General features: G+C 43.1%; 1 protein-coding gene and 1 long non-coding RNA gene across 16 annotated transcripts in view; both read left to right on the top strand.

The window, feature by feature from the left end:
• CHD6 (chromodomain helicase DNA binding protein 6) overlaps positions 1-23,536 on the top strand; it is a 216,295-nt gene that overhangs the window by 146,062 nt on the left and 46,697 nt on the right. For all 15 annotated transcript variants that reach the window (NM_032221.5, XM_047440549.1, XM_047440545.1 and 12 more), the window contains 6 exons: positions 14,888-15,052; positions 16,337-16,516; positions 17,580-17,690; positions 19,374-19,576; positions 20,291-20,490; positions 21,211-21,370. In NM_032221.5, the coding sequence (NP_115597.3) occupies positions 14,888-15,052; positions 16,337-16,516; positions 17,580-17,690; positions 19,374-19,576; positions 20,291-20,490; positions 21,211-21,370 (1,019 nt within the window). The remainder of the gene's footprint in view (positions 1-14,887; positions 15,053-16,336; positions 16,517-17,579; positions 17,691-19,373; positions 19,577-20,290; positions 20,491-21,210; positions 21,371-23,536) is intronic.
• LOC124904904 (uncharacterized) lies at positions 4,756-12,574 on the top strand. The gene is made up of 2 exons (XR_007067587.1): positions 4,756-5,121; positions 5,757-12,574. It is a non-coding gene; the product is annotated as an uncharacterized LOC124904904 (long non-coding RNA).

Here is a 23,536-nt window from a genome sequence, read left to right as displayed (position 1 = left end):
CTGGGCTTCTTCTCTACCCACCCACTCCTACAGAGTTGCTGCTTTGTCTATTCCTTTCTTTTTTTTTTTTTTTTGAGACAGAGTCTCACTCCATTCCCCCAGGGTGGAATGCAGTGCGGCAATCTCAGCTCACTGCAACCTCTGCCTGCCAGGTTCAAGCGATTCTCTTGCCTCTTGCCTCAGCCTCCTGCGTAGCTGGGATTACAGGGGCCTGCCACCACGCCTGGCTAATTTTTGTATTTTTAGTAAAGATGGGATTTTGCTATGTTGGGCATGCCGGTCTTGAACTCCTGACCTCAGGTGATCCGCCCGCCTCGGCCTCCCAAAGTGGTGGGATTAGAGGTGTCAGCCACTGCACCCGGCCCTTTGTCTTTTTCATTTAATGAGTTTCCACATAAACTTGTGTTTGAAGAAAGCAGCCTACTAGTTGAAAACTAGTGCTTTAAATTAAGTTAGTGATGGTTAAAACTCTGAAAATAATGGCCGGGCACGGTGGCTTATGCCTGTAATCCCAGCACTTTGGGAAGCCAAGGCAGGCGGATCACAAGGTCAGGAGATTGAGACCATCCTGACTAACACAGTGAAACCCCGTCTCTACTAAAAATACAAAAAAAAATTAGCCAGGCGTGGTGGGTGCCTGTAATCCCAGCTACTCGGGAGACTAAGGCAGGAGAATGGCATGAACCCACGAGGCGGAGCTTGCAGTGAGCCGAGATTGTGCCACTGCACTCCAGCCTGGGCAACAGAGCGAGACTCGGTCTCAAAAAAAAAAAAACTGAAAATATTTCATGGTATACATCATAAAGTAAACTATGTTCAACATGCAACCTCAAAGAAAACCAGTGATCTCAAAGAAAACCAGTGATTATAACTAGCTTACCATCTTTCTACTGGTGAAAAGATGGCTGAATATGAGTTGCTGGATGTAATGAATAACCCATTTTTAAAGGAGTAACACACTCAACACTAAAATAATAATAAGCAAAAACTAATATTTGATCAGCTCACTATCAAGAACCTACTTACGACAATTATACAGATTAAGGGGTGGAAAATGATTGCCTTTTGGCCTGCTGCCTGTTTTTAAAAATAGTTTTATTGGAATATAATCACACCCGTTTGTAAGTATATAATCTGTGGCTGCTTTCATGTTACAGTGGCAGAATTGAGTAGTTGCAACAGAGACCTCATAGCCAACAAAACCTAAAATATTTACTATCAGGCCCTTTTCAGATTTTTGCCAACCCCAAAACATGATTTCTTAAGTCCTTGACAGTTACAAAGTTCTCGGCTTCTTTGTGATGCTCACCTGACTGTGAGGCATGGCAGCTGGAAGAATAGTGGCACAGGAAACCAAAGTTGAATGGCCAGTTTGAGGACACCTCGGCTGGACATGCCTGAAGCGATATCCAGGAGGATCAGTGGAAGCATGGGGCTGGCAACAGCTCATGGCCAGAGGCAAACATTTTGGAATGACCATGCTTCACCTAGGTGAAGTCTACACATTACCAGTTGAATAGGTGCAATGCCATGGGAAAAGCAAGAACGTGAATAGTCAAACCTAGTGGAGAAGGCAAAGTCATCTGAGGTGACTGATTTATATGTGTAGCAACCAGGGAAGTTGGGTGGGACTGTCCAGAATAAGGGTCTTGGATGAAGGGAGAAGCTTTGGAGTAGCTGTTCTCAATGTCCACTGCTGGGGAGCTGGCAAGAGATGAATTAAGGAATAGCAGTGAAGTCCAAACTGAAATTGGATAGTGTGAACTTTACTAGTGTGTTGAGTCAGTTTCTGAACTTCCTCTAATGCTCAGCCTGAATGAAGAAACGAAGAAGACCAGCACTGAGGAAGATCCAAGGTGGAAGATGCAGGGTGGGAGTTCGTAAGGAGAATGCAGCAAAAGGTTACTGTGTGAGAGAGAACATGTGTACAACTCGGAAGGAATCATCCTTTTTTTTTTTTTAAAGTCTAGCCAGTCTAGGTAGAGATGAAGGAATTGAGAAATGTAGAGCAGTTTTAGGACAGGGGACTAGAAGAGTGGCTATTAGTTAGTGGGACTGGTGGGCTATAAAAAGATGTGATAGAGAGAGGAAGGTCCAAATTCTGTGTCTCCCACAGAGATGGAGCAAGGTTCTTGCTTGCTTGGTGTGATGAGGAAGAGAGCAAGAGGGCTTTCCAAAAGCAAGAGGGCTGGAGACTGTCCACAGAATGATGCACTCTCCCCACACAAACACACACATTCCCACGCCCCTTGGCATTTGCCCTTGCACCCACGTGCTATAAATATAGAATATTTACTCCAGAGAGAGTGTGGAGGCTGGGACGCTGACATCATTGTGTTCCTCTTCCCAAATCCTCCTGTCCTCCTCTTGCTTTCCAGAAAATGAAGGCACAGGTTCATTAGGATCCAGGATAGAAACTGGGTACTACTTAGGAATAACAAAAGAGATTAAAGTTAGCACTGAGAGATCTTAGCAATATTACTGTTTTATCTGGACTATTAAAAGGAAAACCAATTTTTACGTCCCCTTAATGGGGAGATCTTATCTAGAGTCAGGTAAGTGCCACACCCTCTCTCAAACCTTGAATATGTCTGTATTCGCATCAATGTGTGTACAAAATTGAAGGTTATCAGTTTGCCTTTTCTCACCATCATTTAGAAGACAGAGGCTCTAATTTAGTCCTGGCACATCAGCAGCAGCAAGTGTTGTCTAGGTTTCCCATAACACCTAAGGTTAAGAAGTGGCACAGGACGATAACAGTAGCCTGAGAAGGAAAGACAAAGGAAAAACTGGGTTTTTGTCTTCTTTCTTCTTAGGAGTAGGCCACTGTTGCTGCTACCCCTGAAGGCAAAGGCAGACCTCTTGGGAATAACATGCTATCATGCTCCCCTCAGAGACCACAAACCTTCCTCTTCCATTGTTCTGTGATACTTCTGCTTCTTATTCTCTGGGGGACTTTTTGCATCTGGAGGCAAGAGATCCTTAGGGTTGAAGAGGGTTCAAGATAACAACGGTGGGCTGCACAGTTCTGCGTCCTTCCTGCTGCTAAGGTCCCTGAAGGCAGAATTCAGAAAGTGTGGGAGCAGATGTCCTGGCCAAGAGCACAGCCACAAGATAATGCAGCTGCTGCATGTCTGCAGGATTTTGGAAGTCAGTTGGGAGTCCAGAGTGAGGAGACAGGCCCTTTCCACAATCGCCAGAAGCAGGACTCAGGAAACTCCCACACTGCTCCGAGGGGAAGAGGTATTGGACCCCTGTGCCTCTTCCTCTGCTGCCACCACATTGCTTGCACCCCCTATTTCTTACCTAATTTTATGTTTTCAGAAGACAGGATCTCGCTATGTTATCCAGGCTAGAGTGCAGTGGCTCGAAGTCAGTTCACCGCAGCCTCCACCCACCTCAGCCTCCTGAATAGCTGGAGTTATAGTCATGAGCCCCATGCCTGGCTAATTTTTGTAATTTTTGTAGAGAAGAGGTTTCAACATGTTACCTAGGCTGGTCTTGAACTCCTGAGCTCAAGTGATCCACCCACCTCAGCCTCCCGAAGTGCTGAGATTACAGGCATGAGCCACCACGCCCCACCTACATCCCCTGTTTCTTGACAGTACGTGTGTCTGGAGTTTGGAGGATTGCACCTGTTGAGTCTTCTTTGCTATGAGAAAGTAATAATTTGTAAATGTATACACAAATACTATACTATGTAGTCATTTATTCAGTGACTATCTCTTGATCACTGGGACATGCCAGGTGTTACTTAAAGTATTGGAGAGACACTGGTGAGCTAGACTGACAGTTTTATTTCAGTAGGATAGGCAGACAATAAATGAGGAAAAATAAGATAATTACAGATAAGCAGTATTTACTGCAAAGAAAATAAAATAAGGGGATAAGAATGATGGAAGTTGGGGCTGGGCGCGGTGGCTCATGCCTGTAATCCCAGCACTTTGGGAGGCCGAGGCGGGCAGATCACCTGAGGTCAGGAGTTCAAGACCAGCCTGGCCAATATCGTGAAATGCTGTCTCTACTAAAAATACAAAAATTAGCCAGGCGTCGGGATGGGCACCTGTAATCCCAGCTACTTGGGAGGCTGAGGCAGGAGAATCGCTTGAACCTGGGAGGTGGAGGTTGCACTGAGCCAAGATCATGCCATTGCACTCCAGCCTGGGCAACAAGAGCAAAACTCCATCTCCCAAAAAAAAAAAAAAAAGAATGATAGGAGTTGGTTGCCCTGATTTAGAAAGAGTGGTCTAGGAAGACTTCTTTAAGAAGATGACATTTGAGCAGAAATAATGAAAAGGATCTAAAATTATGAGATAAGAAGGAAGAATATTCCAGACAAAACAAAGAGTATGACCATGTAGAGTGGGATGTGAATAGGCGGCACGTCTGAAGCACAGGATGGGACAGGCACTTATTACACAGCACCAGTCCTAAATAGAATGAGTCACGTTCCTTTTGAGTACGCCGCTGCCTCTCCTTGTCAATGTCCTCTTTTTTTTTTTTTTTTAACTCCTTTCTGTTGCCCAAAAGCACCCCTTTCCCATTCTGTGAATTCATCTGTCCTTCCTGTTCTCAGCTAGTTCTTGACTGACTTATCTGACAGATTTAACCCCAGAGAGGGTCTTGTTATGTTGACAGCCCAGGCTGGTCTCAAACCCCTGGCCTCAAGCAGTCCTGCCTCAGACTCCCAAGGTGCTGGGAAGATGGGCGAGAGCCACAACACCCAGCCTTTTTTTTTTTTTTTTTTTTTTTTTCATTGTCAGAACGTCGTTATTCATTTCTCTTTGGCTTTTGTCCACCCCAAATGTATTAAAAAATAAAGAAGAAATTGTGAGCACTATAATTAGAGCACTATAATTTTCTCCAGGGATTAGGGCTGGGGGATTATAGCACCACTGCCCCCTAGTTGTGTTTTACTCCAAAGGTTTTTATATGTATACCTTTGCTGATGCATTTCCCTTGGACTTCATCTGAGTTCCTGGCCCTAGTTCTGAATGTTTCTTTCTCTATCTCATGTTTTTTTTTATTGAGTTCTCTTAGGAAAATAAAGAATGGTTTGAGATTTGACTGTAAAATGATGAGTCTCTTAAATGTGATGGGACTTATCCTGTTGTCCTTCAGGTAAGTCATCTTGGGGGAGAACATGTTTATTTCTATGTAATTTAGCTGCTTGTGGCCTCGGCTCTCCCAAACAGGGGTTTATTTTTCTCAGTTAACAAGTCCAGAGGTAGGCAGTTGAGGACTAGTGAGGTGACATCATAGTGTCATCGGAGTCCCGGGTTCCTCCTGTCTTTCTGCTCCACTGGCCTCAGTATGTGTGGTTTACAGCCTCTTGGTTCCATCTCAGAAAGGAAAAATAAGGAAAGCAGGCATGTTGGTTTTTACAGGAAAGCAGAACTTTGGCACATATCTTCAGGAGGTTCTGTTACACCTCATTGTCTAGGACTGTGTTACCTGGCCATCCCTGGGAGGCTGGGAGTAGTTTCGGTTGAAAATGTTGCTGCCCTGTACAAGAGTCAGGGTTCTGGCAGTGAGCAAGAAAGAGATGGATGCTACGAAGGCCATTAGCAGTGTCTGCAGGGCTCCTCCATCAGATCTTTTGCTCAGAACTTTTCAGCTCCCTCTTGTAATTTACCCTCAACACCATATGAGCCAGAAAAAGAAATCAGGGTCAGTACTTAAGGGCCGTATAAGATTACTATCTTGAAGGTCTCATAAACCATATTGTTCACCATGATCACTTCCTTAATTTGCAGAATCATTCATCAAACCTCCCAGTAGCAGAGATTTGCTACCGCTAAAGATACAGAAAGAAGGTCCAGCAACGAATTATAATAGCTAAAGACTACACAACTGAATTGTTCAGCAATAGATGACTAATTGAATAAACTGTAATATATTCAGCTTTGAAAAAAGAATGAAGACTATCACTATATCCTGCTATACCCTGGATTGTACCCTGGATATATTGTTAAGCGGGGAAAAAAAATAAGGTGGAAAAAATTTGTACTGTATGCTAGCATTTATCTTAAAAGGCTGTGTGTCTTTGTCTGTCCCTTCCCTACCAAGGGTAAAACTAAAACAAACTGTGTGTGTTTTTGTTTTTGTTTTTTTGGGATGGAGTCTTGCTGTGTTACCCAGGCTGGAGTGCAGTGACGCAACCTCGGCTCACTGCAACCTCCACCTCCTGGGTTCAAGCAATTCTCCTGCCTCAGCCTCCGAAGTAGTTGGAATTACAGGCACGCGCCACCACGCCCAGCTAATTTTGTATTTTTAGTAGAGACAGGGTTTCACCATGTTGGCCAGGCTGGTCTTGAACTCCTGACCTTGTGATCCACCCACCTCAGCCTCCCAAAGTGCTGGGATTACAGTCGTGACCCACCACGCCCGGCCTACAAACTTTGTTTTTAAATGGTTACCTTTAGAGAACAGGATGGAAGGGACAGGGAAAGAAGCTGGTTTTTCCAAATATGCTGTTTTGTGTATTTGACTTTGGAACCATTTTAAGCATTTTACTTCATTATTAAAACAAAATTAATTTTTTTAACCTTTTTTAAAAGTTGCAAAAATTATGTAGAATTCCAATGTACAGTTCACCCAGCTTCCCTTAATGTTGACATTTTATATAACCGTAGTATAATGATTGAAACCAAGAAAGCAACATTGATATGATACTCTTTAACTAATCTACAGACCTTATTCATATTCATTCCTTCAGTTTCCTAGAAATATTTTTTTTCTGGCCCAGTATCCACATTCCATTTAGAAGTTGTGACTCCCTAACCTTCTGCAGTCTGTGACAATTCCTTTGTCTTTCCTTATCTTTCATGACCTTGACACTTTTGAAGGGTACTGACCAGTTGTTTTGTGGACTGTTCTCAGTCTGTATTTGCCTGATGTTTTCTTATGGTGAGATACGAGGTTATGCATTTTAGGCAAGAGTACCATAGAAATCATATTATGTCCTCCTCAGTGCATTGTATCAGGGGATGCGTGATATGAATACATCTTATTACTCGTGATGTAACTTTGATTACTTGGTTAACGTGCCATCTGCCAAGTTTCTCCACCATAAAATAACTGTATTTATCTCTAAAAATTAGTATCTTCTGAGTGAATATTTTGAGACTCTATCCTGTTTTTCATCCTACTTCTGTCCATTAATTTTAGCTTCCATCAATGGTTCTTGCTTTCAGTAAATTATTACCATGGTGTTTAGCTAATGGTAGTTTTCTATTCTCATCATCCCTTCTACATTTATTAGTAAGAATTCTATTATAACGAAGTTGTCCTTTGTCTCCCATTTATTTATATCAGTATTGACTTGTGGATTTTGTTTTATTTTATAATCCATTACTCTATTTATTTTGTTTTCAGGTTGTCCAGATTTGGCCGTTGGTAGCTCCTTTACATTGGCTTCTGTGTTTTTTTGACATGCTCCCATTGTTTTTTGAGTGCTTCCTTACGGTTCAAGTCCATGTTACATTTTTCGTGCCCCCACGTTGGAATTGACCATTCTCCAACGATCCTTGCTTTCTTTTACTTGAGAACAGCATTTAGAAACCAAACTCTGGCTACTAGGTATGCCCACTGCTACTAGATTGTTATTGCTTCTAGACCCTCTGTGCACATGGAGCTAGGAAACAGATGTATGCATACTTAAGCAAGCACTCATACCACACAGCTATATTTATTCTGTATATATTCATCCATAGTGAATTTTCTAATTACAGTGCAGCATCACAGGGTTCATTATAGTCTCCTCCTCTTCCTTATTTGTAACTTCTTTCTCTGGCAGGATGAAGCCTGGACCTTGTTATCATAACACAGTATATTTATTCATTTATTCCATCCTAGTATACACATCAAGTAGTTTTAGAATTGCTAACCCATATTTTGTGAAAAATACATTTACCAGAATATAATGTTGGTCTATAGTGGGTTTTTTGGTCTTTAGTATTACAGTATATAATCAGAATACTATTTGCCAAAGTTGCTTAGTTTAGTTATTTTCTTCACGACCTGCTTCAGTGTGGTTAAATTAATAGGGGGAAACATCAATTCCTAAAACTCAAAAGCAAAATGAAACAATTGAATCTAGCTGTGTATCAAGTGAATAGCTTATAACTCACAGAAAAGGATTATTTCAAGGGTCTGTATTTCATATGTTTATACATTTTTATTTCTATATAATTTCATTTTGCAACTCCAGTGTACCCTTTATCCAGATTCACCAGCTGTGTTTACATTTTGCCTCGACTCTATCATTTTTGCCCTTTCTCACTCTCTCCTTTGTGTCTCTGTCCCTTTCTTTCTCTGAGTACATGCATAGACACACATCACTTTTTGTCTGAGCTATTTGAGAGTAAGTTGCAGGCATTGTACCCCCTTGTCCCCTAAATACTTTCAGTGTGTATTTCACTAAGTACAAGGACTTTCTCTTGTATATTCACAGTTCAGTTCTCAGAATCAAGATATAAAAATACTATTCTCCAATCCACAGTTCATATTCAAGTCTTATCATTTGTTTCAACATATTTTATAGCTGTCATTTCCCCAGTCCAGGATTCAATCCAGGGTCACCCATTACCTTTAGCTGTCATGTCCCTTTAGTCTTAGTTAATCTGGATCAGTTCCTCAGTTTTTCTTTTTATTTTATGACCTTCAAGTTTTTGAAGAGTACTGGCCAGTTTTTTTGTAGGTTGTCCCTCCGTTTGGATTTGTCTGTATTTCCTCAGGATTGGATCTAGGTTTAGTACTACTACAGAACTGACACAGCCATCTCAATATATCACATCAGGAATAACATGGTGTCCATTTGTCTGATGATGGTAACTTTGATCACTTAGTACAGTGATATCTGTCCGATTTCTCCACTTATAAAGTTTCTGTTTTTCCCTTTGAAAATAATAAGTAATTTTGGAGAAATAAATTGGAACTGTACCTGTTCCTCATCAAAGTATCACCCATTGGTTTTAGCATCCATTGATTATTTTTGGCTGAATCAGTCATCACTATGATGGTTACAAAGTGATGATTTTCTAACTGTCGCTCTGCACTGGTTAGTTAGCATTCTACTATAAGGAAGAGTGTTCCCTTTTTCTCCCATTTATTTATTTTATGTCAATATGAATACATGGGTTCTTTTTTTATTTAGTGAGTTATAATCTGTTACTATATTTATTTCGATGTTCTGTTCATATAGTTCTAGACTTAGCCAGTGGGAGTCTCTTCGAGCTTTAAGTGTTATTCTCATATGTCTCCCTCGTTCTTTGAGTAATTTCTTACATCTGACACAGTAATATGTTTCAGGCTTAGTCTATACTTTCTCTACCACAGCCCTAACTACAGTTAGCCATTTCTCTAGCACACTGTGGCTCTGTTGTATAGGTAATGGTTTTTAGCAATCAAGATTCAGGAGTTGGGTGTGTTCATTGCTACTGCAATGATGTTTCTTCTAGGCCCTCTCAGTGGACATAGCTGGAATACACACAGAAAGAGAGACTATAAATATGCATATGTGTAAATATATGCATTCATTTGTATATGTGTGTATAGACACAAATGCATACGTAAACATGCATATCCGTATCTATTTCTGTACCTTTATGTATATGTATGTGTGTATATAAATACACATGTACACCTAACCATGAGTTAATACTGATACCTCCAATTCATTCTAGCACCACAGAGTTTATTTTAGTTTTCCTCCTTTCCATATTTATAATTTCCTTCTCCAACAGTGAAAGCCCTTACTCCTGCTACCCCCGGTATCTTTACTCATTTGCTGAAACCTAGATTAAACAGAAAGTAGTTTCAGGATTGCTAACCTTGCAACTACAGAAAATAAACCTACTTTCAAGTGTGTATTTAAAACACTATACATACTTAGCAGGATATATCCCTAAGTGGCTGGGGAGAGAAAAATCTTGAAATTTTTTGGTAATTATGTTTTGAGTGAGTTGTAATGGTATTGGTTTTCTGAAAATGTTATATTGTGGGACAAATCAAATGAGTACTGATATTGATGTGGTTGAAAATTGAGTTTTTCAACATGATTAAAGAAATACAGATGTGAGGTTGATGAAACTAAAATTCTTCAATCATAATTTGAACTAAAAATATCAGTATGACCTCATGATGTATTTTGTCTTATATATGCATATGTTTATATACACTCTACACACACAAACACTTCCTATATTTGCCCACTGAGTAGGCACTAGAAACCATGATCATCCCTAGTAGCAGGGACCACCTCTAGGGTATCCAGATTGTTGTCTGTAAGTTTTCTACCCCTGTCTATGGCTGGACTGTTTCTTAGCCACTTGCCCTGCAGCCTGGCAAGAGAGAGGAAAAGTTAGTTTTTCCCATGCTATGAAGACCTTTGCTCTGGTCTTCCTGGTGGCCCTGCTGTGCACAGAGACCCCAGGGTCTGTTCTGTTGCCCATGCTTGGTGGCCTCACACATAAGCTCTTGCCTGCCAGCTATGTGCTCCTTCCTCAGTGGGGTCTGGGTCTCCCCGGAAGTGACCAGGATTGTTGAGTCTAAGAAAGTGACAGTGGAGAACAAGTTCTGCCTTCCCTCCTGCCCCCAAGAACAACTTGGTAAACCAGGATGTATTGGTTCATTTTCACACTGCTGATAAAGACATACCGGGGACTGGGACGAAAAAGAAGTTTAATTGGACGTACAGTTCCACATGGATGGGGAGGACTCAGAATCATGGCGGGAGGCGAAAGGCTCTTCTTACATGGAAGCGGCAAGAGAAAATGAGGAAGAAGCAAAAGCAGAAACCCCTGATGAGCCCATCAGATCTCATGAGACTCATTAACTATCGTGAGAATTGCATGGAAAAGACCAGCCCCCATGATTCAGTTACCTCCCTGCTGAGTCCCTCCCACAGTGTGGGAATTCTGGGAGATACAATTCAAGTTGATATTTGGATGGGGACACAGCCAAATCATATCACTCTGCCCCTGGCCCCTCCAAATCTCATGTCTTCACATTTCATGCCTTCCCAACAGTCCCCGAAAGTCTTAACTCATTCAGCATTAACCCAAAAGTCCACAGTCCAAAGTCTCATCTGAGACAAGGCAAGTCCCTTCTGCCTATGAGCCTGTAAAATCAAAAGCAAGTTAATTACTTTCTAGATATGATTTGGATACAGGTATTGGGTAAATACAGCCATTCCAAATGGGAGAAATTGGCCAAAACAAAGGGGGCCCATGGAAGTCCAAAATCCACCGGAGCATTGAAATTTTAAGGCTCCAAAATGATCTCCTTTGACTTCAGGTCTCTCATTCAGGTCATGCTGATGCAAGAGGTAGTCTTGGGCAGCTCCACACCTGTGCCTTTGCAGGGTACAGCCTCCCTCCCCCAGCAGCTTTCTTGGGCTGGCATTGAGTGTCTGTGGCTTCTCCAGGCACACAGTGCGAACTGTCAGTGGATCTACAGTTCTGGGTCTGGAGGATGGTGCCCCTCTTCTCACAGCTCCACTAGCCAGTGACCAAGTAGGGACTCTGTGTGGGGGCTCCGACCCCACATTTCCCTTCCGCACTGCTCTAGCAGAGGTTCTCCATGAGGACCCCACCTCTGCAGCAAACTTTTGCTTGGACATCCAGGCATTTGCATACATCTAAAATTTAAGTGGAGGTTCCCAAATCTCAATTCTTGACTTCTGTGCACCCTCAGGCTCAACACCACGTGGAAGCTGCCAAGGTTTGGTGCTTTCACCCTCTGAAGCCACAGCCTGAGCTGTACATTGGCCCCTTTCAGCCATGGCTGGAACAGTTGGGACAGGGCAACAAGTCCCTAGGCTGCACACAGCACAGGGACCCTGGGCCCAGCCCACAAAACCACTTTTTCCTCCTAGGCCTCCGAGCCTGTGATGGGAGGGGCTGCCATGAAGGTCTCTGACATGGCCTAAAGACTTTCCACATGCTCTTGGGGATTAACATTAGGCTTCTTGTTACTTATGCAAATTTCTGTAGCCAGCTTGAATTTCTCCCCAGAAAATTGATTTTTCTTTTCTATCGCATAGTCAGGCTGCAAATTTTCCAAATTTTTATTCTTTCCTTCCCTTATAAAACTGAATGTTTTTAACAGAACCTAAGTCACCCCTTGAATGCTTTGCTGCTTAGAAATTTCTCCCACCAGATACCCTAAATCATCCTTCTCAAGTTCAAAGTTCCGCAAATCTCGAGGGCAGGGGCAAATGCCACTGGTCTCATTGCTTAAATGTAACAAAAGTCACGTTTGCTCTAGTTCCCAACAAGTTCCTCATCTCCTTCTGAGACCACTTCAGCCTGGACCTTATTGTCCATATCTCTGCCAGCATTTTGGGCAAAGCCATTGAACAAGTCTGTAGGAGGTTCCAAGCTTTCCCACATTTTATCTTCTTCTGAACCTTCCAAACTGTTCCAACCTCTGCCTATTACCCAGTTCCAAAGTCGCTTCCGCGTTTTCGGGTATCTTTTCAGCAACGCCCTGCTTTACTGGTACCAATTTACTGTATTAGTTCATTTTCATACTGCTAATAAAGGCATATCCAAAACTGGGAACAAAAAAAGGTTTAATTGGACTTACAGTTCCACATGGCTGGGGAGGCCTCAGAATCATGGCAAGAGGCGAAAGGCTGTTCTTACATGGCGGCGGCAAGAGAAAAATGAGGAAGAAGCAAAAGTAGAAATCCCTGATAAACACATCAGATCTCATTAACTATCACTAGAATAGCACTGGAAAGACTGGCCCCCGTGATTCAGTTACCTCCCCGCTGGCTCCCTCCCACAACACATGGGAATTCTGGGAGATAAATTCAAGTTGAGATTTGGATGGTGACACAGCCAAATCGTATCACAGAAATATGCAAATTTTGGGCACCAAGATGAACTTCAAGCTTTCTTATTGCAAGGAGGACCTCTGTAACACAGTGGGCCAAGTGGCAGGAGGTGCCTGGGATCCACCCTCCTTTAGCCCTGCTTTGATGGCCATTTCCTGTACCCCCGCCCCAGTGGCCTCTCTTCTGTCCCAGTACTTACTGGGCTTCTTAGTGTTTGGGCCGCTTTAGTACTAAGTATAGGAATTCTGGTGTCATTTTCAGCCATGAGGTTAGGGGAAGAATGTGGGCAGGGCATGGGTGGGGGCTTCCATATCCAGGGATTCTGGCACTGGGTGAGTCCCTTATGGGCAAACATAGGATTCCTGCTTAGACTTACCCCTTTCTCTGGGCCCAGTAACTTCAAATCCAACTCAAACAGCCTGGCCTCTGACACAGGGGACCCATTGCTTGCAATTCTGGACTCCAGGATCAAGATCACGGGGCAGGAGCAGAAGTCCAAGGCTCCAGACTTGCTCTGCCACTAACTCACAGAGGAGCAAGGGCCACATGTCTTACTGCTCTGGGCCAAGATAAGGAAGGACCTGGGGTGTCCAGTGATACCTGCAGGGCTCACTCACATGGCATGGCCACCTCTTCCTCTCAGTGTCAGTAATCACCCCTCTGCTTGCTTACTCAGGGAGAAAAAACATTCCCGCTAAAAGAGACTAGGACTTCTGGAAACAAAATGGCTGAAGCCAGGTCTGGACAGGAAATGTACAAGAGGAGTGTGGAATATGTTGAAAGCAAGGGAACTATTGAAAGACTACCAGTCTTTGATATAACATACAAACATAAATGTACACATATCCATACCTATTTCTATATCTGTGTGAGTATGTGTATGTATATGTGTGTATATATACATATACACCTAACCATGAGTTCATACTGATACCTTCAGTCCATTCAAATACTGCAGAGTTGATTCTCGTCTTCCTTTTTTCCACATTTGACTAGGTCATGTTGAAGGAACTCAGGAGCCAACTTAGAGAGGCTCCCATGAGCCAAATGTGAACAGCAATAAGAATAATAACTGCAGTGCAGTAAAACATGGCAGATATATTTAAGTGCATGCCTTCATTGTATCCCATAAAGAAGTAATAAAAAAAATTTCATTGGTCACTTTTTGGGATGTTATTTTGGAAACTGATTAAATAAAGAGAATCAAATATTTAGCTTGTCCCTCCTATATGAACTGTACATTAGGGTAGCCCCTGATGAATTAACAGATCTAGGCAATGATCATCAATTCAAAAGAAAGATGACCAGATACCATCTGCCTCTTGGTGTACATTCAGATGCTCAAATCTTAAGCTGATCAGGTTCCAAGGTAGAACTCCTAGTTTAGAGAAAATACAGGAAATAAAGGTACCTGTTCAGTGACACAGCAGAAATGCAGTTGTTTTTAAGTGTGACAATGATAATAATATATATTTTACAAGAGTTTGTATCTTTAGAAATGTGTATTGAAATATGTAAGAATGAAACAGTATGATGCTTAGGATTTATTTACTTCCTAACAATCTGGGAGGGTGGAGTGTGGTAAAAATAAACGAGATTGTCCGTAAGAGGTCATTATACTTCCCTATATTTTGATCTATGTTTGAAAATTTCAGTAGCAAAATTTTAAAAATAAATTTTCAGTGCTACCAGCTCTGAAGCATATCTTCCAAGAGGACAGGACAGCATCCTGGGAATGTGTGCCACTCACAAGTTGCCTTGCACAGACCACAGCAGGGCGGGGGCACAGGATGGGACACCATGTCCTTCTCATTGCTTTATCCCTGGCACGCAGTAGTCAGTACACAATGGGAGAAGAAATGAGTGGCCACGGAGGGTGGCAGCCAACCTTTGGGTATAAATTCTGTTCTGAAATCAGTCCTGTTACTTGTAACCGAGAGTTGGCCACTCACACCACATGACATTTAAGCACTCCCCTATTCCCAGGGTTGCTGCCGTTTATACATACGGTGACGTGATGCATATGACTCTTCTTCTTCCCAGGCTCAGGCCCGATGTCACCGCATAGGCCAGAGCAAAGCTGTGAAGGTGTATCGCCTCATCACTCGAAATTCCTACGAGCGCGAGATGTTTGACAAGGCCAGCCTAAAGCTGGGGCTGGACAAGGCTGTTCTTCAGGACATCAACCGAAAGGGCGGCACCAATGGGGTGAGTGTGATGGGCCTGCTCTGGAGTCTTAAGGAACATTGGTCGCACAGCCCAGACAGGCTTCTCTTCTTACAGCTGTTTAAGGGTTCACTTTCGCTGCATTGAGCCAGCCCTCACATCATTATTGGGTAATTCCCTACAACAGGGCATCGTTAAGAGTCAGGTGTCTGTGTTTTCTGGGTGGTTAAAGGAAATCCGTAGAAGCAGTTATGAGGTAGGATTGCCCAGCTTGGTGTAACATTTCAGTAAACAGAGTTTTTAACTGTGCCCGTTAGAAGCCAGTAGATCTTAACATTGTATTTGTTACTGTGCCTTATCTCATACCTCAGACTTTGAGCTTTGAGAGTGTACTGGGACCAATTTTATCTATGTCCCCTCGGCCCCTAACAGTGCTCGGCATATTAAAAACATAAAGTGCTGGATGGTCAGTAAATGAATGAATAAATTAGCAGCTTAAAATAAGGCAGTTAAAATATTTTTCCCCCTTTGGGGGCATAAGAATTACAGCTAAGATTCTTAAATTGTCCTAAAGTATCTTAAAGTATAGGCAAACAAAGCAGAATATTTCCTTAATCTCTGGGCTCAGGGCATCAAAGATTGGATGCTTAAACCTTCTAAATGAGTTGTCTTTAGTCCAGATGTTCCATATCCTCTTAGCTATGCATATGTTGCTAAGTATAATACTTCAAGTTAGTCATGCAGAGAGTCATGGAATTCCCTCTTGTGATTGATATAAAGAGAACCAGATTCTTAATTAGAACCAGAAAAGGGTGTTTGGGACCCCATTTCCTGTTTTTTTTGAGAAGATCACATTTATCATGGGATCATTTTTTTTTTAGTTGAGAAATGACCTCATTTACAATACTAATATACATATTTATTTAATAATGAATAAATCATTGTTCTTCTGCTTGTTTGGTACATCTGGAGGTTTTTAAAGATACAAGCTCTAACTAAAATATAAAGATGTCAAAAGTACCATCTTCAATGATGCATAGTTATAGTGGCTTGTGACATCTGATAATAACCAACATCCTGAAGAATGTTAGGGACCTTGGATCATGTGCTGAGCTTTATTTCAGAGCTGCCTATAGAGGACTGTCTGCCTGCCCTCCCCAGAGTATCGCATCTGGGATTTCACTAGCTGAAGTTTGTTGCCCACGTCCTTTGTTCTAACATGTAGTTCATGGAGGAACTATGCACTGAATCACAAAAACCAGATTTGAGGCTGTTTTTCTCCTATACATTTTCCACTTTGTGAGTAGCCTTTGGTGACCTGTCCAGGTACAGCAGCTCTCAAAAATGGAGGTGGAGGACCTACTCCGGAAAGGTGCTTATGGAGCCTTAATGGATGAAGAAGATGAAGGCTCCAAGTTCTGTGAAGAAGACATAGACCAGATTCTGCAGAGGCGAACGCACACCATCACCATCCAGTCTGAGGGGAAAGGGTCCACTTTTGCCAAGGTACAGGGCCTTCTCTCCAGAGCTGTTGGGGGTGGGAGAGAAAAAAAAATGTTTATTCTCTGAAACCCATTAGCAGGGCTTCTGTTTCTCTGAATGCAAATCCTAGAAATTGGCTGCACATTTAGTCTGCGTGACTATCTAAAGATATAGATCCTTAGAGGAAGGAAGTCTGAATAGGGAGTCAGGGACTATACCAAGAAAATACCACTCCTCACCTTTGAGAGCTGATCTTTAACAGACAGAATAAACACTCCTATTCTCAGTTGGCTCTGTTTGCAAGGACTGCTCTGAAACCTTCCAGTGGACATCTTGATTCCCTTGTAGAGCACTTCTTGATCACTGATAGAGAGTGGAAGCTCCAGTGAACACTCCATTCCCCAAACTCAAGCAATTTGTTTGTTTGTTTAATGGGAAAGAGATTTTACGTAAAATTCCCAGCTTCTAGTCTGGGTGCCTCTTTTCTCTGCTGTTTAGGCCACTGGATTTAAAACTTAGCAGATCACTCTCAGGTTTCCCTAGCCACAACCACTGCTGATTCCTGTGTGAGCTTTGTGACCTGTTTGATTAAATCTCCTGTTTGGTGACACCTGAAAGTTTTTTAGTGGGACGTTCAGTGTTTTATAAGGAGGATATGGGTGAACCATCCCTTGTCTCTACACCTCATACTGCCCAGCCTAATACCTTTTCCATAGCAGACATTTGGTAACTGTTGCACTGAAAGAAAAATCTAGAAAAGTTTTAAGTGTTAACTCTTTCATAGGAAACTAGACACCAAGTGTCACATTGCCATTGTCTTCCGGGGTTTGCCTTCCTGCTTCCAAGCTTAAGCTCCAAAAAAAAATGATCCCTTCAGTTGAAATTATGATTTCCTCACCCAATTTTTAAAATAAAAGGTAAAAAAAGAATAGCCTTGAGATTTTCAATTCATTTTGGAAGCTCTGTTAAGGGTTTGATTTTGAATGCAAATAGATAATATACTTAGGTTTCTCTTGAAGTAACACTGGTGTTTTATTAGTTTGTATTGTGTTCAAGCACAGTTTATTAATTCTTGTCTTCTTCACAGGCTAGCTTTGTGGCTTCAGGAAACAGAACAGATATTTCCTTAGATGATCCTAACTTTTGGCAGAAATGGGCTAAAATAGCTGAACTAGACACTGAAGCAAAGAATGAAAAGGTACAGCAAAATAATATTTTATTCCATGGAACATTCACTTATGTCATACATGACAATAAATTCCTACACAGCTCAAGTCATTATTTACTCTTGAGTCTTGGTTCTTAAATGGTATTTGTACCATGCTTAAAATATGCCTGGCACATAGACATCACTCAATAAATCTTAACTGTTGTCATTTTTAAATGGCCATTCAGTCTGTTGGGCACCTGGGAAATTAGATGAAGGCAATTAGAACTGGAACTGGATACACAGGTCAAGTTCAGGCCTCTGCCTCAAACCAACATTCTATCCCTGGCATGTGACTATTTTATTTGTATTTCAACACTTTCTGTGAGAGAAACTTCACACATAATAGAGGGAAAAAGCATGACAAAAGTTTGTTGGCTTTACCTCCATTCTTTCAGTGTCTCATGTTTTCTTAATTCTGAACATGAGAAAGAGAATGGACTTGAGAGTGAAACCAGAGTATGCCTTCGGATGAAGCTTTTGACCCCCGCTGAGATTAGTAGAAGAGGAGGTGGTCAGGCCCACACTGTGGGGTTACAAGGTAACATTTGTGGGTATAACTGGCACCAGTGCCCAGCCCACTGTGAGGCACCCCTTAAATGTTGATTTCCCGTCCTTCATCTCTGACCCTGTCACCTCACTTCAGGATGAGTGTCTTCTCAGGTGAGTATTGAACTCTCATGGTTCCACAAAGCCAGGAGACAGTCCCTGCTTGTAGCTAGCTAATTCAGTAACCAGCACCCAGCCAGAACGACCACAGGTTGCTTAATCCACCCTCTTTTCTCCTATAAATAGAAATGCTGATTTTCCTCTTTTAAGAAGATCCTGCAGTCCCCTTTAGTAACCTGTTCTAAGTGTTTCACAGTGTCGCAATCAAGAAGCTACTGTGTGTGCAGGACACTGGGTCCAAGCAAGGGGAGAAAGCACTGTGGCCCTGTAGCCAGGCAGAAGCAGTTGGAGCCTTCCGTGTTGGGAAGCACGGTGATCAGAGCAGGGATAACACGACATTTGTTATCTGGGCTGTGTGGAGGAGTAGTCAGGAGGCTGGCCTGGCTTGGGGAAGAGGTATGGGGGAAGGAGTGAGGAGCAGGAAGCAATGGAGACTAGAGAAGACACATAGCCAGGGGAACCATCAGAATGACCGAGGCTCCTGAGCTGGAGATGGTATTGTCAGTGAAAGGCAAAAGGTTAGTGGATAGAACCAGTCGAAGGCAGATAAATAAAGCAGGAATATGCGTTTGTCTTCAGAAAGTTGCTGAGCAGATGGAATTCTCTAGCTTGTCTTGTCTCCAGAGTGCAGACTGCTCTCTGCATGCTGGGCAGAACAGCTGGGTCTTCACTACTCCAGTCTTTCTTGGCTAGAGCCGACACCACTTTGGTCACTGGGGGGGGGCCTTGCCTGCCCACACCCCGGGTAGAATGACTGCAGAAACAACAGATGGTGACAAGCAGCACTGGGGGCCAGGGAGCACATCAACTTGAGCAAGTCCCAGAGAATCTTCTCTGCTTGTCCTGTGGTCATGGAGACAGCAGGTGTGCTGGGAATAGCCCTTCGTGCTGGAGGATGAGACGGGGCATGGTTCTATCCCAAATGTGTCCTGAGGATACACTTATGCTTTGTGAAAGGAGTAGAGAAAAGAGGACTTTCTTCCCAGTAGTCCTCTCCATTTCTAGGAAAGCTTAGTGATCGACCGACCTCGCGTGAGAAAGCAGACCAAACACTACAACTCGTTTGAGGAAGACGAGCTCATGGAGTTTTCAGAGTTAGACAGCGACTCAGACGAAAGGCCCACGAGATCCAGGCGCCTCAATGACAAAGCCAGGCGCTACCTCCGAGCGGAGTGCTTCCGGGTAGAGAAGAACCTGCTCATCTTTGGGTGGGTATTGGCTCTGCTTAGTTTTGTTGTTATTGTTGTTTGTTCCCCTCTGTTTTTCAGTCCCTGAGATTTGTCTAGGATGTCTCTCCAGTCACCTTTGGAATTATAGGGCAAAGGGGGATCTGTTGGAGCAAGAGAGAACTGTGCCTTCTGCCCAGAATCCGTCTCAGTCACCGTATGCTCCGCAACCACAATGCAGACATGCCATGATTTTCTCATATGCCTGTCACAACAAATCTCTGGTCCTAATTTGCTGTCTGGTACTGATTTCCTGCTTCCTCCCACCCCGCAAGGATATACAAGGAGTCCACACAACACATGTTATCGCCAAGGCATGATTCGTGCAGGGCTTTGGCTCTGGTAGAAATCAAAGGTTCAGCTGCCATGAGCTCATCATTGCTTTTGAATAGTGCTGTTGGACTCTTTTTGATTCCAAATTTATTCCCTGCTCCCAGTAGTTTGGTCCCTCCCTTTTTAACATTGTAGTGGCCATATGAAGCTCTCAGTGTCCAACGTCCAGGTCACTTTAGTGATATTCGGTGTGCTACAGTCAGGTGGTCCTCAAAGGCCTTTCGGGACAAAGCCCTTGGGATGATTAACAGACCTACAGAGAACAAAAAGCATGTATGGCTCTTGTTTCTCCTCCTGTGGGGAGGCTGCCTGCATGGCCTGGTCCATTCTCCCTCCAACACCTGTCTGTATGTCCACTGTCAGCTGGGGCCGGTGGAAGGACATCCTGACTCATGGCCGATTCAAGTGGCATCTGAACGAGAAGGACATGGAGATGATTTGCCGTGCCCTCCTGGTGTACTGTGTCAAGCATTATAAGGGGGACGAGAAGATCAAGAGTTTCATTTGGGAACTGATCACACCTACCAAAGATGGGCAAGCCCAGACCCTCCAGAACCACTCAGGTGAGAGGTGGCAGGGCCATGCCTAAGAAGCACGATTCCCATGCACTTCATCCCCTCTTCCTCTGCGGGGCCGTATTGCTGTGCTTTGGGGGACTTCTCTTTCTCGGGTGTTTTTCAGAATGTTACCAGTGGGAAAAGATGTTGCTTTCGTTTCTGCCTCAGAATCTCCCAGTGTTACCTGTGATATTTTGTTGAAGTACAACTGGACCCTCTTAAAGTTTCCCACATCTGGTCCTGCCCACTAACCTGAGTCTCACACAGACTCCCCCTCTGAATTAGGGATGCACAGTGACTTGCCTTTTGCATTTCACCATCCTGTCCCTGTCCCACCTCTGTCTGTGCCTTTTCTTGTGCTACATTCCTTCCCTATCCTTGGCTAAGGCTCCCCTTGAAGTTTTAGGTCAAATGTTCCTTTTCTCCCAGCCAGGTTGTAAGTTCCCAAAGGGCACAGGTTATGTTACACCTTTCTTAATCCTCACAGGGTACTTGGGAAATCTTACTGACAAACTAAATGGTCCTGGAGTTTATTTGTTTACTAAGGAGGAGACCAAGTGCATGGCCTTCCTTCCTACCACCACCACCTGTGGGCTAAGGAGTAGGGTCTGCCATCCAGAGCACAGCCCAACTCTGTTCTAACAAACCCCAGCCCAGCTCTTCTAAAACCCGTGTGTAACACCCCCCTTGGCTATCCACTTGCCCTATGCTGTCTTTCTGTTTCAGGCTTATCTGCCCCAGTCCCCAGAGGGAGGAAGGGGAAGAAGACGAAGAACCAGTTGCTAATCCCAGAGCTAAAGGATGCAGATTGGCTAGCCACCTGCAACCCCGAGGTGGTCTTGCATGATGATGGCTATAAGAAACACCTCAAACAGCACTGCAACAAGTGAGTGTCCCTCCTCCCCATACCCTGGTGGCAGCCCGGCTCAGACTGCTTCGATTCCTGGGAACCCCACAGGGAGAGCACTTCATGCTCTTGTGCTACTTCTGTGCAAGGTCTAGAAAGACAGGATGTGTTATCTGTGGTCTAAGCTGGCTCAGAATTCATGTTACAGCTCCTATAACTCCTTTAACAGTACCTCTGCTCTCCCGCAGAACCTGGCCCCTCTGCCACTGCATTGTATATACCCCTGAGGATTTTTCTATTTTGACTCTCAAAAACCAGTCAGGTCATCCTCTGCCCCTGAGGTCACATTAACAAGGGCAGAACATTGTGGCCTTGGTCGCTGCCACTCTCAGCCACCTCTTCCAGTTTGCTGTTGCCATTCATGGCCTTCAGTTATTTGATAGGCATGCATTTGAGATAGTATGCTTTGTATCTGTAGGCTAACAGCTGGGGTCGGGTGGGATGGAGACAGCAAAAAAAAAAAAAACTGATTGAAAAACAAAACTTTGTTCATATTTAGTTTAGTCTTGGGGACTTGGGGCATTCAGCGACAAAACAATGGCAAGTTTGCATGTGGATATTTGCACCACTGTGCAATGTATCTGACCCTTGGAAATGATCTAATTCATGTCAAGGTCATGCAAGAGTTATCTTCCCAGCATTCCTGGTAGGCAGTGTGAGGGCCTCCGGTCGCACACCTCTGGTAATCAAGAGTTTATTACTTTATAGGTTAAGAGCTTTTGCTTGGGTTTTCCCGTCTCCCTATAACATCTTCTTAATGATTTTGTAGTTGTTGGGTTGTGGGGTGTTTTGTTTTGTTTTTTTTCTTTTACAGATAAAGTATAATCCTTTCCCTTGATCACCTCAAATATTTGAAGATAAGTCTCATGCCCAATACTGTAATAAAAACTAATGTACACAAAAGTACAAGCTCTTCAGAGACAGCAGTAAGCACTCAAAGTGTTGTTATTATTAGTACTATATTATTTTAGGCATGAAATTGTCATCAAAAGAACCTTTAAAAAGTTAAAAAGCACTGCTTCAAATCTAAGCTAAAAGCAGACAGGATAATGGTTATCCACTGGGGATGGGATGTAACTGTAAGGGAATACCAAGGGGACTTCAGGGAGAATATTCTGCTTCCTGATCTAGATGCTGAATACACATGTATGTTTTGTTTGTAGGAATTCATTAAGCTATACATGTTTGCAGTGTGCACATTATGGAAGTATATTTCACATCAGTAAAATACTTTTAAAAAGAAAAAAGGATATGTCGCCACCCAAAATATTAATGGATTGTTTTCTTTGGCTAAACCAAGGGTGTTACAAACCTGCTGCAGTTGTGTGTCCCTTTGAGTTCAGACACCAGCTTGGAGGAGGGGGCTGGCTATAAGGAATTGTCCATCCATCCTCTGAATTGATTTCCCTTCCATTTGGAGGAGAATTGAATACTATTGGCTTTCAATTCTGTTCTCTCATGCTGCAGATATTGTTAGACGTCAACACATTTGTTTCTCTTTATAGAAATGGAAACAGCTCTCCCTGTCTTAGGGAGACAGACATTTTCAGGAAAGCCCTACTCTAATTGAGCTAAGTCTCAGCAGGCAGGACTCTGACATTCTGTTCCACTTTTTACTAAAGCTGACAGCTACGACCATCTACAAATTAAGGATTGGCAGTGGTTGTAAATTTTTAAGAGTTCTTATTCTCTGGGCTTTAAAAATAAATAAATAAACAAACAGGTTGGGTGCAGTGGTTCACGCCTATAATCCCAGCACTTTGGGAGGCCGGGGCGGGTGAATCACCTGAGATCAGGAGTTCAAGACCAGCCTGGCCAACATGGTGAAACCCCATCTCTACTAAAAATATAAAAAATTAGCCGAATGTGGTGGTGGGCACCTGTAATCCCAGCTACTCGGGAGGCTGAGGCAGGAGAACCGCTTGAACCCAGGAGGGGGAGGTTGCAGTGAGCCAAGATCGCGCCATTGCACTCCAGCCTGGGCGACAAGAGCAAAACTCCATCTCAAAAAAAAAAAAAAATACTCTCAGAATTATTTGAGTTGATTGACAGCTGAGATGAGAAATGTTATACCAGAGATAATAAGGGTTCTTTCCAATCTATAAGTTCTAACTTTGTGTGTTTCCACCTACAACTTGAGCCCAC

This window comes from Homo sapiens, chromosome 20 (assembly GCF_000001405.40).
Source record: "Homo sapiens chromosome 20, GRCh38.p14 Primary Assembly".
Taxonomy (NCBI): domain Eukaryota; kingdom Metazoa; phylum Chordata; class Mammalia; order Primates; family Hominidae; genus Homo; species Homo sapiens.
Note: the sequence above shows the minus strand (reverse complement) of the source record. Positions and strands in the feature narration are given on the sequence as shown.